Source organism: Homo sapiens, chromosome 7 (assembly GCF_000001405.40).
Source record: "Homo sapiens chromosome 7, GRCh38.p14 Primary Assembly".
Classification (NCBI taxonomy): Eukaryota; Metazoa; Chordata; class Mammalia; order Primates; family Hominidae; genus Homo; species Homo sapiens.
Window position 1 is genome coordinate 50334788 of NC_000007.14, and position 17828 is coordinate 50352615.

General features: G+C 44.0%; 1 protein-coding gene across 59 annotated transcripts in view, besides 3 other annotated features; it reads left to right on the plus strand.

The window, feature by feature from the left end:
• IKZF1 (IKAROS family zinc finger 1) overlaps positions 1 to 17828 on the plus strand; it is a 101647-nt gene that overhangs the window by 31333 nt on the left and 52486 nt on the right. The gene's annotated exons all lie outside the window — the stretch shown is intronic.
• Positions 15717 to 15776: an enhancer, noted in NCBI's record as "active region_26001". NCBI's record gives its function as "activates an Ori minimal core promoter by ATAC-STARR-seq in GM12878 lymphoblastoid cells {active_cell/tissue: GM12878}" and the evidence as "EXISTENCE:reporter gene assay evidence [ECO:0000049][PMID:35858748]".
• Positions 17540 to 17719: an enhancer, noted in NCBI's record as "active region_26002". NCBI's record gives its function as "activates an Ori minimal core promoter by ATAC-STARR-seq in GM12878 lymphoblastoid cells {active_cell/tissue: GM12878}" and the evidence as "EXISTENCE:reporter gene assay evidence [ECO:0000049][PMID:35858748]".
• Positions 17740 to 17789: an enhancer, noted in NCBI's record as "active region_26003". NCBI's record gives its function as "activates an Ori minimal core promoter by ATAC-STARR-seq in GM12878 lymphoblastoid cells {active_cell/tissue: GM12878}" and the evidence as "EXISTENCE:reporter gene assay evidence [ECO:0000049][PMID:35858748]".

A 17828-nucleotide genomic window follows, 5' to 3' on the forward strand; every position in this document is an offset into this window, starting at 1 on the left:
ATATGTGTGTGGGATGCATGATGTGTGGTGGATATGTGTGTTTGGGATATGTGGTGTGTATGTGTGGGGTATGTGTGTGTATGGGATGTGTAATGTGTGGTGTGTGTGTGTGTATGGGATGTGTGGTGTATGGTGTATATATGTGTATAGGATATATGGTGTGTATGTGTGGTGTGTGTGCAAGTAATATGTATATGTGTGCAGGATATGTGGAGTGTGGTGTATATGTGTGTATTGGATGTGTGGTGTGTATGTGTAGTGTGTGTGGTGTGCATGTGTGCATGGGATGTGTGGTGTGTATGGGATATATGGTGTGTGGTGTGTATATGTTTATGGGATGTGTGGTATGTATGTGTGATGTGTATGTGTATGGGATATATGATGTGTATGGGATGTGTGGTGTGTGGTGTGGATATGTATATGGGATGTATGGTGTGTATGTGTGTGAGATGTGTGGTGTGTATATGTGTTGTGTGTGAGATGTGTGGTGTGTATATGTGTTGTGTATGTGTATGGGATGTGTGGTATGTGGTGTGTATGTGTGTATGGGAGGTGTGTTGTGTATGTGTGTGTGGGATGTGTGGTGTGTGGTGTGTATGTGTGTATGGGATGTGTGGTGTGTATGTGTGGTGTGTATGTGTGTATGGGATGTGTGGTGTGTGTGTGGTGTGTATGTGTGTATGGGATGTGTAGTGTGTATGTGTGGTGTGTATGTGTGTATGGGATGTGTGGTGTGTGGTGCATAGTGTGTATGTGTGTATGGGATGTGTGGTGTGTGGTGTGTATGTGTGTTGTATGTGTATGGGATGTGTAGTGTGTATGTGTGTTATATGTGTATGGGATGTGTGGTGTGTATGGGATGTATGGTGTGTATGTGTGTATGGGAAGCGTGGTATGTGGTGTGTATATGTTTATGGGATGTGTGCTGTGTATATGTTTATGGGATGTGTGGTGTGTATGTGTGTATGGGATGTGTGGTGTGTCTGTGGTGTATGTGTGCACATGCATGTGGCAGCTGAGCCACTGGGGTGTTTGCTGTGCCTGGGAGCAGGCCATGTGGGTAGGTAGGCCTGGCTCTATTGATTCCTAGCTGTTGGCCCTGGCAGGTGGCTCTGCTGTTCCTTCATTGTGAGGTGAGGGCGCCCCCTCACCCGATCCTGGCTGTCATGTCTGTGAAGCCTGACCCAGCAGGGCACAGCATAGAGGGCTGTCCAGAGCAGCTGCACTGATATCATCATCATCTGCATTTTGGCCTGCTCCATGTCTGACATTCCTGTTAAGCAGGTGGCTTTAGGGAGAAGCATTGACACACTGACCCCTACAAAAAGCTTACAGTTCCTCAGTGATAAAACACAGGGTGCAGCCCGTGGCCAGGCTGGGTCCCCGGAGAAGACTCAGTTGGCAAACGCCATGTGGTTGCCACAGCTGGAAGCACTGGGGGAGGAGGAGCCCTGCCTGGCCCCGGCGGGGGCAGGGGGAGGGTGCAGGGGGAGGGTGCAGAGGGAGGGGATGAGTCATTTTGCCACAGGCACGCATGTGCTGGTGAAGGGGCGTGCGTGGGGACCATGGGTCACATCTCGGCTGTCCCCTTCTTTAGGAAGGGGTGGAGGTGGCAGGAGTGGGGCGGGTTGCAGGCTCAGAGGCACAGGAGGCCCGCACTCGCTCTGAGGCTGAGGAATAAAGGGTGTGGTGCTGGAAAGGGAACCCTCAAACCTGCTGACCTGGGAATAGCCCTTCAGGGGGCCTGTCAGATAGCTCGCCCTTGGGACAGGCGGTGGCGAGAGGCCAGGAGGCCTTTGGTGCAGGAGGGGAAGAAAGGCAGGGAGGGGCGTCTCAGAGGGCAGAGAAGGGCATCTCAGCAGCCCCGTGGTGTTTGCCCCTTTGAGGCGGTTCCATCCGTTGGCTGCATTGTCCACTTCGGTGACTGGGGCCACAGTGATTCTGCTGAATGCAATGGGAACTGTACCCAGAGTAGGGGTTCGCATGAGACCAAGGGATGGTGTCTAGCCACGGAACAGTCTGGAAGGTAGGGATGTAAGTCATAGGGCAAGTTCCATCTGTGGGACACTATCAGCTCAGGAGGGACAGCCAACAAAACAGCAGGACCACAGGGGCCCTGGGGAGTAAATGCCTTTAATTGTCTAAGAGAGGAGCAAAGAAGGAGACAGAGTGAGTTGTGTGATTCGGGTAAAATTTCTAGAAAGAAACATGGCGAGAGGAGTTGCTGGGGACAGGATAATGCCCTAGAAAGAGGTGTCTGGGGGTTGGCGGTGGGTTTCCCACAAGCGGCTCGGTAGGATTGGGGCAAAACCAACCATGTGAGAGGGACCGGGAGCGGCACAGGAGAGGAGGCAGCAGCTGTGGGCTGTCAGGCATCAGGAACCAAGGGAAGAAAGAAGACAAGGAGCTGGTTGGGGTCGGGGGTCACAGGACTAGGGGATGGTATTTACAGGGTAGTCTTTTTAGGAGAATGTTTAAATGTGATTGAAGTCCAGTAAGTGGGAGCTAGCAGAATAGAAAGGATTAAAATCTAACTAGCAGCCCCAGGGTAGGCCGGCGTGAGTCACCTATGAGCTGGGCCTGGGCCTGGACTATCCCCTAGGTTTCCTCTTGGCGCTCTTCTCCCTTCCCTCAGGGCTCTGTGCAGTGGTCTCCACACAGAGAGGTCTTCCTGGACACATGCCCTAAGATAGCGTTCTCAGCACTGTTGCTCCTTGCCCTGCCTTATAGCAGCAACGTCACCACTCGTAGATGAAGGACTCAGCTCTGATTTGCTCCCTGCGTGATCCCCAGTACCTGGGCATCCCCCAGCCTAGAGTAGGTGCTGTCTGATACATTGGTATTGAATGAATGAATGGGAATGTGGCACTGCTTTCTCAAAGATGAGGGCAAATGGAGCATGTAGGACAGTAGAGAGAACTTTCAAAGTGAGAGGAGAGAATTTGAGGCTGCATCTGATGTTCATCATCTTATTTTAGGTCACTGTTTCTCAGTGGGCACGATGATATTTGATGTAGGGGGCACTTCTTTGGGTGAGACTGTCCCTCCCATTGCAGGATATTTAGCCACCCACATCACAAGTGGTACCATGGTGATTGTGATACCCAAAATGTCTCCACATTTCTCAGGTGAGGACCCTGCTGGAAAAGCCACCAGTTAGCCCGGACACATTCGTCCTCACTTCCTTCAGTACTTCCCACTCGTAAGAGCTTTGAAAATTCAGAAGGGCAATCTTTGGCAGATTTGTTAAGGTTTTTTAATATAGCCAGTAATGTTCCAGAATCTGACATGTGAATTTTAAAAAAAAACTATAGAGAAATTGGACCAGAAAGGTTGAAAAATGCCAAACCTTGCATTTTCAACCATGCTTGCAGTGATGACTATGTGTCTTCAAAGGTGCAGATTAACTATGGAAAGTTGCTTATTTTTATAAACAAAAACCAATGTTAATCTTCATTTTATTTTGATGCCTTACACTCAAGATCACATTGAACCTAATTCGTTCAATAAATAGAACCAACTTCTAGAAAATAAAGAGATCCTTAGATTAAAAGTGCTGTCAGAGTAGATAGATAACATTTTCTGTTGCCGGGTTTTTGGTCCCAGTTTTATTTTCTGCCTTGTTCCATCTGTGTTGAAAGAATAGTTAGCTCTGTGTATAAAACAACCAACTGACATTTCGTTAACTTTCCTTCTACATGGGGTTTCAGAAAGAAATGGGGAAAAAAAGGCTGGGGGGTTGAGCTGTGGTTGCCAGTTGCCACCTGTCCCCCTATCTGGTTAGGGCATTTTCTGATTTGGGAAGTGTAAATATAACCCAGAAAAAACAGCTTCCCCTCCTTTTATGCAAAAGTAGAAAGGCTTAAACAGAGTACAGCCTTAACATTGCCCCGGAAAGTTTCCACAGAACCCGTTAGACTAAATGAAAGCTCTTGCTCTGGGGGAGTGGGCCATGCCAGGAAGCTGCCCTACCAAGCCCTCTCTTGCTGGCAAGGCAGGGCTGGGCCTGGGCTACTGTCTCCCACCAGATAAGCCCAGCTTTCTTCAAGGCCCTAACAGGAACCTACATTTCACAAATTACCGCAGACACGCTCACAATTTTAAACTCTTTGCCTGTTAGGATCAGTGAGATAACAGAAACTTATAGGGAACTCAGAAAGCATGCTCCGGTGAGCAGTGAGCCACCTAGAATCAGCCAACTGGTAATATGCGGAAAATCTGCCAGGTTGTTGGTAAACTTTTGGTAGCTTGAAGTCTACCGTGGTTGGGAGTATTTACACCACAGAAATCGGTGAACGCTGCAAATCAAGGCTTTTTCTTTTTGAGAGCTGGTTTATCTGTGCACCACTAGCTTAAATACACTTTTAATGTCCTGACAGCTGAAATTTGACAGTGAAATTTGAAAGGAGGAATTCTTTTGGGTAGGGTTGTGTGTGTGTGTGTGTGTGTGTGTGTGTGTGTGTGTGTGTGTTGTGGAGGAGGAGCTGGGAAAGGGTGAATCTATTGGGGAGGACTGTGGGGTACATATAATTTGTCCAACAGAAGAGTTGGTTCCAAATGACTCTTTGCTGTTGAAGTCACAAACTGGAAATGTTGGAGCAACTAGACTCTCCATATTCTAAACAAAACACATCTTTAGCATTTAGTTTGGTTGCTGGGGGAGTATGATTAGAAAAGGATTTGGCCAGGCATGGTGGCTTACGCCGTAATCCCAGCACTTTGGGAGGCCGAGGCAGGCAGATCATGAGGTCAGGAGTTTGAGACCAGCCTGGCCAATATGGTGAAACCCCATCTCTACTAAAATATGAAAAAAAAAATTAGCTGGGTGTGGTGGCGTGTGCCTGTAGTCCCAGCTACTGGGAAGGCTGAGGCAGAAGAATCGCTTGAATTCGGGAGGCGGGGGTTGCAGTGAGCCAAGATTGTGGCACTGTACTCCAGCCTGGGTGATAACTCCTTCTCAAAAAAAAAAAAAGAAAGAAAGAAAGAAAAGGATTCTGTGTCTTATTTATGAGCTATTATGCTATTGCTGTTATTTGGGGCTGAATGATTTTTATTTGGGGCTGAATTATTTTTAAATGTAAAGCAAGATGTCTAAATTACATTAATATGTTACTAAATTACTATGATTTTTCCAGAAAAATATTAGCCCATGCAATATTCTTTAATTCCTGTGATTAAGTTGGTCTTCTGCAAAGAAATTTCTGTTGACTTCCTTAGATTAAATGCAGCCCTGAGATAGGTGTGCAGGTCCAGGAAGTGGCCTGTGCAGTTCTCCCTGTGCCTGCAGGGGTGGCTTCTTGAGGATACTTTCGCAGTAAGGGCTTAGCAATATGCGCATGTCTAAGGAGTCTATCAGAAAACTACCTCCACTGTGGAAGGGCTGGGGATTGTATTTTTGTGCTTTGAAGCACCTGACACTTGCTGTAACTCCATTAACTGAAGAGCCGTTTGGTGCCCTAATTTCAGGAGTGAGTTCAGCTGCAGGGATCTCAGAGAGACAGGTCTAGGGTGTGTCTCCGCAAGGCCTGCTGCCAGGAGAGTACTTCCCCCACAGGGGATGTGGCTGCAGGCTGTCGATTTCCACTGAAATCACCAGGAGATGATTCTGGTGAAGCCCTGAACATCCGGTGTCACTCCTCACCAGGCTGGGTGTGATCGATGGAAGGCCTTCAGCATGGCCCCCTGCTGCATGGCAGAGCCCAGTGGCAGATGTGGCTGTTCTCTTTTTCAGAGTGAAGGACTGTTACCCTAGAAGTGAAATCCTGCTGAAATGAGAAAAGTGCTGTTATTATATTTCTACAGGCAGCTATATGATCATTTTTATTATGATTCTTGGAACCTGGCAGAATTTTGACTGCTTTTGCAATATCTCTGTGCTCTCCAGTTGAACTTGGTGGCAATAAAATTAAGAATCTGCCAGTGCCCCCCAAGCATTTCTACTCTGTCCATAATGTTTAGTGACAATTAACTATTACCAGGTGTAGCCACCCTTACTTAATCTTAGTGTTATGGTGCAAGTAATCCTTAGTGAAATTATTGTTCTGTAGAGAATGCTGTGATCTAAGTGAAGTGACTTTCATCCTGAGATGACAATGGAGTTGTTTTTGTCACTGTAAAGGCTGCATTTACTCGCAGTTTTAAAGCATTATTGCTACTTATATATGGTCTCAACACTGATTTTTATATTTGACTTTGTAGCTTTAAGTGTAAAAATTTCTGTTAAGGTTTTATATGTGTTAGTTAATTTTTCCCATTTCAATAACCATGTTTTATTATTGATGGAGTCTCCTAAAAATATACCCTTAAAATCTGCTTGCCCTGTGCCTGCACACATATTTTAAATGTTGGGTATGGAGTCTTTTTTTTTTTTTTTTTAGACAGAGTTTCACTCTGCAGCCCAGGCTGGAGTGCAGTGGTGTGATCTTGGCTCACTGCAGCCTCCACCTCTTGGGTTCAAGTGATTCTCCTGTCCCAGCCTCCCAAGCAGCTGGGATTACACGCCCGCCACCATGCCCAGCTGATTTTTTGCATTTTTAATAGAGATGGGGTTTCACCACGTTGACCAGGCTGGTCTCGAACTCCTGACTTCAGGTAATCCACCTGCCTCAGCCTCCCAAAGTGCTGGGATTACAGATGTGAGGCACCGTATCCAGGCTGTATGGAGTCTTTCTAATCAGGACATAGGCAGACAGTCCTAGCCCAGCTTTATGCCTTATGAGACGCAACAACGTTGAACAGTCATTGTTTGAGGGACAGAGGTTTTACAGATGGATGATAACTAGCATCTGTGGAACATTATTTGTGAAATATAGAAATCAGAAATTCCAGCGTAGCACTGTCCAAGGGGAACATAATTTGACCTGCATATTTGCTGGTCCATTTTTAGTAGTCACATTAAAAAAGAAAAATGACACAGGTGAAATTAATTTGAATATATTTTCTTAATTCAGTATGCTTAAATATTATTTAAGTATGTACTCAATATAAGCAATTGTTAATGAAATATTTTACTCTTTTTGAACTATGTGTTTGAAACCCCGGATGTATTTTTTTTTTATCTTCACCACACATTTCAATTTGGGTTGGTCACATTTCAAGTGCTCAGGAGTCACATGCAGCTAGGGGTTACCTATTGGACAGGCAGGCAGATCTTGAGAGCTCCAAAGAACTGTGTGTCATTATATTGTGGAAAAAAAAAAAACTTTTTAGATTAACCCTTGTTGAATGTTAGCCAAAGACTAGTCATTTATCAACTCTCTAAAAGTAGTTTTTAAATCAATTTGCTTTTCAAAACATTTTCTCAGTGTTGTCACAAATGTATGTGAACATCTGCTTTTTAAGTCTTTCATTTTTTGCCCACATTTGATGTAAAGAAAATCTAGGTCCAGTCCAATTTTAACATCAATTGGGTTTATTTTATGTAGCTGTGTTTTAAGTACAGGTCTTGTACTTGTAGGCATTTTGGTTAAGTACAAAGTAACGAGAATACAACAACATGTGAACATGTCAAACAAATCAGTTTTTCAAAGCTAAGTAGCTGAATTAAATGTAGAAAAACATGACATTTAATTTTTGTCTTCATCCCTTCATTGTATTCCCATGTACTCTATGGTAACTTTTTTAAGTTGGGAAGTCCTCTTTAAATTTTTGAAATGAGGTAGCTGCTTTATAGACATGAGGCAGGTTCCCAGAGAGCGCCCTTGAGGACAGGCTGTAAGTAAACTAAGCTGCAAAGACAGACACCATCACAACTATGGAATTGTTTTGCAAAAATTGTGGAGAGTGATGCCCCTTGATACTTCCTAAAAGATGCTTTTGCAACCTGATAAAGCAACCGAGGAGAGGTGGTGAAGGAAAGGCTTTTTTTTTTTTTTTTCAAAGAGAGAAAGAGAAGCAGCAAGCTGCCTGCCTGCAGCCTGAGAAAGCAGTTCCACCTTGGCACCCATGTCCTCATAGCCCAAGCGGGGCCACCCTGGCATGTGAATCTGCTCCGCAGTGTGCAGCCCAGACCCCAGCCTTCCTGTGAAAGGGACACCTCCTGCTGCTAACCGCTGCTCTTCCTGCAGTTCAGGAGACAGCGTGTGCTCCTGTGGCGGCTGCATTTCCTGAGTACACCATGATCCAAAAAGGCACAGATTCGTCATGGAAGCTTTGATTGGGCCGTTACTGTCTTTTGACCTTTCTTGTTTGCTTGCCCTTTTGTTTCTTTCCTCCTTTTTCCTTCCTTCCTGTCTTTCTTCTTCCTTCCTTCCTTTCTTCCTTTTTCTTTTTAATTTTCCTCCTTTCTCTTTCTCCTTTCTTTCCTTCCTTCTTTCCTCTTTTTTTCTTTCCTCCCTCCCTCCCTTTCTTTCTTCCTTCCTTTCTTTCTTCCCTCCTTCCCTCCCCACCCTCCCTCCCTTCCCCTCGTCTCCCTTCCCCTCGTCTCCCTTCCCCTCCCCTCCCTCCCTCCCTTCCTCCTTTTTCTTTCCCTTTCCTCCTTCCTTCCTTCCTCTCTTCTTTTCTCCATCCCTTTCTTCCTTTTAACATTTGATCATGGGTACCATTTCATCAAGATTCTGTTACTTAGGTCCAAGGACTAGTGACCAAATTGTTTTTCCCAGGAGTAAACTTTTCTACAAGACATAGAGAAATGACTGCCAGTGCCATCAGGCACACCATCCTGTGTGATAGGTAACCTAAAATAATGGTACAGCGGGGAGTAACTGGAAGAGTCACAACTACACAAATCTCTTGCATTTTCCTGATCATTAAATGAATTAGGGATTTCCTGGTTTGAGATTTGTGGACAAGGAGAACTACTTCTTTGTACAAGAGGCTTGTGCCAGGAGAAGACACGCTGTGGTTACAATGTTACTGTCTCTAGCTATGGTCATTTCATGTCTTTAACTGAGTGTACCTAGAGTGTAATACAGTGCAGCAGTGATGGGCTGAAGGCCTAATGCACCAGCACACATGCCTGGAAGACCTAACGTTGAGAATCCGCATTTTTTTCATCACTCACATTTATTTTGCATCTCCCTGTTTTGATTACCTTCAGAGACCCAAGCACTTGCTTTTGTATATTTGAGTCTGGGTTTTATTTTCCTTTTAGAAATAGTCCAAAATCCTTTTAGAGCCTAGACCTTTGAATAAAGTGCTAACTTAACCTGAGGAATGCTGTTTTTTTGTTCACAAATAAGGCTTAATTGTGAAGTCGTGAGAATTGCTTTCTGAGCTGACTTATAAATTTACCCACCTCTTTTTCCCCAAACCCCCAAAAAATCCTCCAGAAGGTGAGCCCAGCTTGTTGTAAAAGATTTTGAAGCAGAAGTCCTGGGTTTAAGCTTCAGTTCTCTGCCTTACCAGAATCGGGATGTGTGGGGCAGGCCTACCTCCTCTTTCTTCATCTGCAAAATACATTGAATGAAATCATATTTTTTCCTAAGTATATGACATGTAAAGTGGTATTTCAAAAACTCATTAATCTGCATGACCAGGTCAGAAAAGACACACCTTTTGCCTTGTGTCTAGTGTGTGACTGTCCTCACATGTAGATGACCCAGGCCACATCCGCTGATGTTGTCTTCCTTTACTTCTTTGTCCCTTCCAATGACTCCTTTATGAAGTCAATCAGCAGTGTTTCTAAGCCAGGTTCCTTCTCTTCACACATCCCCAACCCACAGGGCAAGTCATCCACATTTTGCCTCTCTATTTTTTGTGCTTTGGGAAACACATTTTACAACTTCCAAACTATTTGCCTAAGTTCATCTGAGCACATCTAGAATTATTCCACTCCTCTGCATCAGTGCTAAAAGTACAATCATGTATAAGCTGTTATACTCCCGTTATTTTGTACCTCATGTGCAGGTAGATTGCAAGTTCCTTGCAGGCAGGTACTACATCTACTTGAATTGCTTCACGATCACATAACACAATGCAGTGTTAAAAGTAGAAAAGTAATTGACATCTTGACTAACAGAAACACTAAATTCAGTGTATTGTGATGATACCTTTTTAAGAGATAGGCTATAGAAATAGAAAATCATCTTAGTTGGAATTGAAAGTCAAGAAGCAACATTTTAAGTAAGAGATGAAAATACTTAAAAGGGAAAGGAGCAGTGCTTACACAGATGAGGGGAAAAAATAAAATGTATCATCTAAAAATTTAAATCAAATATATTAGGTTGGTGCAAAAGTAACTGCGATTTTTGCCATTAAAAGTAATAGCAAAAACCACGGTTACTTTTGCACCAACCTAATAGATGGGAAAAATAAGAGGAATGAATATTTTAAGCTTTGCTATATAATTAAAATATTCTTAGAAGTCTGGAGTCTGTGAAGGTCACACCCTCTGGTCTTCTCCCAGCCCATAGGGTATAAATAATCTGAATTGACGGCATCCAGGGATCTCAGAAATTATTAGTACATCCCACAGTGAATTACCACCTTACTAAAATATTCATGGGTATATACTATGGATTTGTTTTATCCTATTTAGTCTTAAAAACTATAAAGAAATCTGCAGGCTTATTAACATATTACTCAGAATCATATTGTCTCCAAAGCACAAACTGAATCAGTTACAAGATATTGGACTAGAGATCATGGCAAATCAGAGGTACATAAGACCTAGTTCCGTTGTGGAGCTAAACAAACTGCAGAGACCTAAAGGGAAGCCTTGCACCACACTCTAGGTTTGGAGCTCAGGTTTTGAGTGGTGTCAGCACTCCAGAACACATGGGATCCCCGGGAGGTGGAAATTGAGCCGTCTTTGGAGAATCAGCTAATGAGACAGATGCATGTTAAATGTCTGTTGTGGCCCAGGCACTCTGCTAGGCAGAGGGGTGAACCAGAAGAATGAGATTCATGGGGCCAAAGAATTTGCCTTCTGGTGTAAGAAAAGATGGAGGCAGCTTGGCAGAAAGAAAAAAAAGGTAAAAGATAGAAATGAAATACAGAATAATCTATCTCCTCATCCCACAAGCAATTCTGCCTGGTTTGTGGCTCACGCCTGTAATCCCAGCACTTTGGGAGGCCGAGGCAGGAGGATCACTTGAGGTCAGGAGTTCGAGACTAGCCTGGACCACAAGGTGAAACCTCATCTCTACTAAAAATGCAAAAAAATTTAGGGCCGGGTGCAGTGGCAGTTCTGCCTGGTTTGAACATCTGGTTCAGTTAAAATACTTCATGAAAATATTTAGCTTGATGCACTGAAATCCATCACTGCTTTTGTGGGATGCACTGACTGCAGTCTGACTGTTCTCCTAGTGGAAAGGGGAGCAATAGCTTCTGTCTGCATGTGCATGAAACAGATGGAAATTTAGAAGAGATTCTAGTGCAGACAACTTCATCCCACCCCCGCTGCCCACAGAGCTAGCCATGTGCACGGTGTGTTTGAACAATGTTATGTTGCTGCTGTGCACAGAGATCCCCAGTCTCATAAAACATACTGGATGGAAGGCTGTCGAGAGATCATCAGGCCCCAGTGCATAAGTTCTTCCTAAGCATCCTTAACAGGTGATCACCTCGCCTATTGAGAACCCTCAGGAGGCAGCCCACTTACGGAAGCACTGATTGTTACAAAAGCCCTGAACTAAATCTGCTTGTCTCTAAAGCCAGCCCTGCAGATGTCTGCAGTGTAACTACTTTCTCTTCTCTCAAGCAGTTCAGCCCTTCAAATCATTGACAACAGCTCTACAAAGCCCTCTAAATAGCCCGTTCTCCTGGCTAAAGTGTGTTGGTTTCCTCAGCATATGATGAAATAAACACCATGATGCCTTTGCCTTGCTTTTTCTTGCTGGTCTCACTCTTCCCTGGCATTCTTCAATGTGCCCAAGTCCTTCCTAGAACATTGCACCCAAAGGGCCTTCCTGGTCTTTCCAGGGAATGCAGAATGAAAAAGAAATCCCATCCCCTGCCTCGAAAGGAGCTCTTCTGTGTGTAAGTGTACCTTCCCCCTCAGGGCATAATGGGAAACAGTTTGCCAAAGCTAACTGTGTAATTTCACATGACTCACTGCCGTTAGTCTGAGAAAGCATGGCATATTAAACTCATTTTCCATGCTTCCCAACTTTATTTACTATTCCATTTCTGAGGGGCAGAGAGCTGAGCAGGAATAACACCTTCCTTGCTCCTCCTAATGGGGCACATGTGCACATATAAAATTGTGTTCGATCTTTGCAGCCACGACCCATGTTAACTGTCAACTGAGAACTCATGAGTCAGTTTCTCAGGAACAGCCCTGAAGACATTATCTCCTGCATCTTGTATTTGTGCCTTTGATATTTGGAGGGAAGGGTAGGATCTGGCAATTATCGTTATCTCATTTGGTTCAGTGTATTTCATTTCAGCCTGTTAAGATCTTTTGGAAATACTGTATGTGCTAGTTACAGGGACAGTGATAAATAAGACAGCATTCCTGTCCTTGAGATGCTATTTCCACAGCTCCATGAGATGCCTAGTTAAAAACAGAGCCTTTTTTGGAAACAGCCTACTAATCTGTTAAAATAATAATGGAAAAAGATAAAGTTAGCATACCTGAGCTGCAAGGGCTGCCTCCTGGTCTGATCTCTGATAAGGATCAGATCCTAGAGCCTCTGAGATCCCTGTCCTCCCTGTCTGCACAAGCACTCGCAGAAGGAGAAACAGTTTACGGTGGTTCATCATGACTTTGAACCAAGCTTAAAGTCAAAGTCATACTCTTTAAACCATTGGAAACCAAGTTTTTGCGAGTTGCCTAAAGTGGGCAAAAATCCCACAATGCACCTGAGCACAAGCAGGAAAACATGCCATTGTCTCCCCAGGAGCCCTCCTTGACTTCTACTTTACTTTATCCATTGACACTAGTCTTATAAGTAGCTTTGTCTGTCCAATTTTTAATTGAATTTCGTTTTTATTTTCGTGAGTGGAAATATCACTTTGAAAGAAATCAGTCCTCTCCTGAAATCCAGAATTCCTGGAGCTCAGTTTACATGTTTGACGCGTGTCACATGATTCCACAAGTCACTCAAGGGCAGGAGGATTACCATCGATACGGAAAGATTTCTTAGAAAGCTTAAGTGAAAGGGAAACCAGGGAGAAAGTGTGCTTCGTGAGAATAGGTATGCGGACGGCTCTTTGTGACGCTCTGTGCAACCCTCGTGTTTGCATTGAACCAAGCTGTGCTGCAGATGGACACCCATCCCATTTCCCCGACTCATACCAGGGAGGCCCACTTTGCAAGGTACACAGAGGGGACCACAGAGCAGGGGGCCATGCAGGGGACCAAGGGACATTTTAGTGTAACCAAAGTGTGAAGTATGCCCTTTATTTCAAAAGAATAAAGAAAATCACAGGTTTTCCCGCTGATATGCCAGGGACATTTCCAAGAGAATTCCTTTTTTGAGAGAAATCTCCTTTGATATCCCATCAGTCAGCCATACTGCATAATTGTTAGATAGTGAAAGAAATTCATTTTTTAAGTTTGTCAGAAAAATAAATTCTTTGAAGTCTTAAATTGTTGCCTCCGGACATGACATATCTGGCTCTTCCAGAATCCATGTTAGTCCTAGCTGAGGAAGAAGGAGAAGGAGAGGGGCGTTTGTTGATTATTGATTTTGTAAGATGCCCCACACGTTGGCTATTAGCAGAATTCTCACTTCTAAAAGGAAAATGAGTGTGAGCTATGTTCAATGAGAAACAGTTATTTTTGGGACATTCTTTGAGGTAAAACACCTCCTTAAGATGCTGCTTCCTTATTGCTATGGGACCAAGATTAGAGCAAGAACATAGTGGTTTTCAGACCCTGGACATCATCCACAGCCGCAGCAGAGGCCCTGCCCACTTGAACAATGAGACAGGCCACCATTTTGTTTCGAGAATGAGCAAAGTGAACCACCATGCCAGATATTGTTAAGTCAGCAACTCTTCTGAAGATGGACATAGTAAAAAATAAACAAACAAGGCAGCACTTGAGATGGTCATGGCAGAGCAATCTCAACAAGCGATTTGTTATTTTGCACAGTGATGTACCCACTCATTGAATAAAATGCACCAGAACCATGCACTACAGATGCTAAGGAGAGTTGTCCTTCAACAAAGGAGATAGGCCCCACTGGCCGTGGGGCAGTTTATGTTATTTGGTCCTTGTCATGGGCAGGCATGGCCCTTTCTATGCTTCACAGATGAGGAAGGTCCCTGGCACAGGTCCAGTCTCCAGCATGGCCTAGAGGTGGCAGGTGCTACTTAGCATCGCCAGCCTCCTGCTTGGTCATGGGGTCAGCCAGTTTATAACACGAACGGAGGTTAATGAACTGATCTTCCCATCGCACAACTGGTATGAACCCACATCTTCTGATTATAAATCTTTTGCTCTTTAACTCTTAGTCATTACCACTGTCTAGTGTAGGCCTGTGTGTTCATGGCCTTTGTTGCCACCAAAAGATCAACTATTAGCTGAATAACATACTGAGACATGTTGGTGTTGTGTTCTAAATAGCACTAGTAAACTGTTAGGGAAATCTGACTATATAGCTACTATCCAGTCTAGTTTTTCTTGCGAAGTGTTTGTTGAGTGTGTAATGAGGAGTAAGGAAGGTGAATAAGAAATGGCCTGAGTCTTTATAAAATAAGCAAGGAGAGAAAACAGTTTTGATGAGAAGCGCATGGAATTTTTAGAAGATAGGACGTGTATTATGTACCTATAAGAATGGGTAGGATTTTAGAAGAGATGGATGGGGAAAAGGAACAGGGAGTGGGAACAAAACGTGGACCAAGGAAGAGCAGGTTTAGCCATGGAAGCCTCACCGCCGGCTTTGGTTTATCGTGGGCCAAGGGGACAGACCCTGTGGGGAGGGCTGGCAGCAGGGAGGTCTTCCAGAAGTCTATCCTGCAGGCAGTAACAGCCACCCAGTCTATAAGCTGAGTGGGCATGGGGGTGATGGGGAATGGGTGGGGAGTTATTGGGGTAACTTACCCCAAAATGATAGCTAGCTGGAACCATTTATTCTATTGCATTTTATCAATAAATCTTATAGGAAGTACCATCCTAGTGAAAACCCTGTCACATTGAGGGCATTCATGCTTATGTTTTAAAACATGTTATTGGGTCTATGAAAAATAAGGCTGAAACCTATGAGCACCCTCCATGCAAAGTTTCAGTCAAGACTTTGGAAACAAGACAGTGTCTTACTCACTTTATAAATTCATTCAGAAAGCCGTAGGTTTGAAAATTCCAAACTTAGATGTAAGAAGCTCTGAGAAACACATGAAATCACCCCCACATCAGTAGAGATGTCTCAGCAGACATGGGAAGAGGGGCAGCAGGGTGTAGGGAGGTGGGGCAGCCCCGGGGTGGGCCTTGCAGGCTGGGCTTGAATCCCATGGCCACCACCGTCCGCTGGGAGGCCTGGAGCCGGCTGCCCACTCTCTGACCAGCACATGTTGATGCTGTATCCTTGAAGGGACCGTGGTCTGACATCCTGTGATGCAGACCTGAATCCAGCACCCACAGGGTCTGCACATTCCCTCTTTGAGGTGGAGCCCAGCTCCAGAGGCTGGTCCCTGACTCTGTTTCTCAAGAAGCCTGTACAGATGTTCCCCTCACCACTGTTTCCAGTCACCTTTGGCTTTCACGGTGCAGATGCTAAGTTTGATTTTCAGAGCCCATCTGGGAATTTAGTGAACTGAACAGGTAGCATTTCTGAACCCACCCATAACCCATGCCCTCCCCACTGATTTTGAAAGAGAGTTTGCTGCAGGTGACTTTGCAGCTGGGTAGAGAATCTTGGGGCAGGATTCCGAGGCAGGCAGATGAGTGAGGATAAATTGGGTTCTGACGGCACGTTACACCAGTGGACTCTAACGACGACCTCACCTCGTGCACAGATAATTCTGCCTTGTGCTTAACCGTTAGAAATGTGTCACTGAAGTGTGAACATATTATGCTGTTAGATTTCCCATCATTTCTGTTCTTTCATTCCCTCTCATTTGCATTGGTTACTCATAAATGTAGATCTTTGGTATGATTTGTACAACTGCCGGGTGTCAATCTGTGAAAGAAATAGCAGAGCAAGCTGGGCTCTGGTAGCGCTTTATCCCTGCGTGCTGGCTTGCCCGGGTTGACTCAGAGGCAGTCTCACATTCAGCTGCGCTGGGGCCAAGGACCCAGGGAGCCAAGTGTGTTTCTGTTTTCTGTATTTAGCAATTTAAGACCTGCGTTTAAATACTAGCTATGCATTCTAGCAAAAGAGGTTTATATTTTAACACAGTAACTCTTAATTGTTTAATTCAGTTCGTGTGTTACCTCTCGGAATAAAATAGTGGAAGCCAATTAACTATAGACTTCATTAGTTTGGATTTAAGATCACCAAAACATTTACCACATCTCAATTGTTCATTACATGCTCTCTCTTTTTTAATGCAGTTTTTATAATATGGGGAGTGGGGGTGTGGATTTAACCATTATATTTTTATGATATTGGGAGTAGATTTAACCATTATGTAAATTGGATTTTTTAATTTTAAAAAGTCACTTATCTTGATGTAAAATCATGTCTTAGTAACCTTGATAAACTAAGTTTTGCATGATTACACCTTAAGGTTAAAACATATTTCATTTCATCATTTCCCAGAAGGGGCACTGAATTCACCCATTTCCTGTTTTTCATCTCAGAATGTTCTGTGTTTCCTCCATATCTACTTTCCCGGCAGCAGGACCCTGGAAGCAGTCACACCAACCTCATTTACCCCACCTGAGATTTGTGCGCTTTGAACATAGTTGCAATCAAATCAACAATATCTTTGCTCAGAAATGGATATGTGAAGTAAAATGTGCTGCCCTGTTCATGTATGAAATCATTCAGCTAGCTGGCCAGTGAGCCCTTCATTGCAACAAAGATTTTTCTAGAGCCCCTGCACTATCTGGGGCTATGTCAGGCCTCACACTCCTGCTCACACGTTTGGAGGCTACCTTGGCCAGTATTACCTTAATCCAGCATTTAGGGGAAGGAGCATTTCAAGACTAAATTTTCTAAACTGCTCAAGCCTACCTCATTTTATTTCTTGTGTATTTTAACACTTTTGGATGAGGACTCTTCCTAGAACCTACTAACAATTCCCCCCCGCCCCCATGCCAAGATTCTTTAAAGACTTTCTTGAAAACGCTTCAGTCTTTTCTTCTTAGCTCAAAAGTACTATCCTAAATACTAGCTCTGGCATTACAGGGAGTTAATTTGTGGGCACACACAGTAAATTATAAACCCCTTAAGCAGAGAAGATTGTATTATCAGTTTATTAGTTTTCTTATTCATTCCTTCAGCACACATTTCTGTTGCCTCCAATGCAGCAGAGAAATTGACTTCTACAGTTTCCACAACAGTCCAGATTTCAACTGTGTAGTGCTCTTTCAGCCAGAAAGTACACTTGTGTTTCCCTGGCCATAGGTCCTGAACCTCACTTCTGAAAAGTCATTGTGCATAGAGAGCTAATAGCTGTACCCTAAATGATCCTGGCTTTGAATTCTCTTATCTGCTTGGATAGTATTATCTGTCTCTTCCTCTGCATTCTAATTTGCTACTTCTAATCTGCTGGGAATTACAATAAGAAAGAACCATTTAATCATTTTTACAACTGTGCCTAAAGAGAGTGTGTGTAAGTGCCGAGAGAGTGTATGAGGGACTTGCCCATGAGTAAATGCATGAATTTTAGGTCAAGGGTTTTTTGCTTCTCTTTTGGTTGATTACCTCAGAGATCAGTTTTACTTTCTTTCTCATTCTTGACCTATCATCACTAGCTGATATGGATGATGTGTACAACTTCTGAGTAAGAATAATGTCAATGGGACGGGATGGGATTGGCTGGTGATTCTGTTG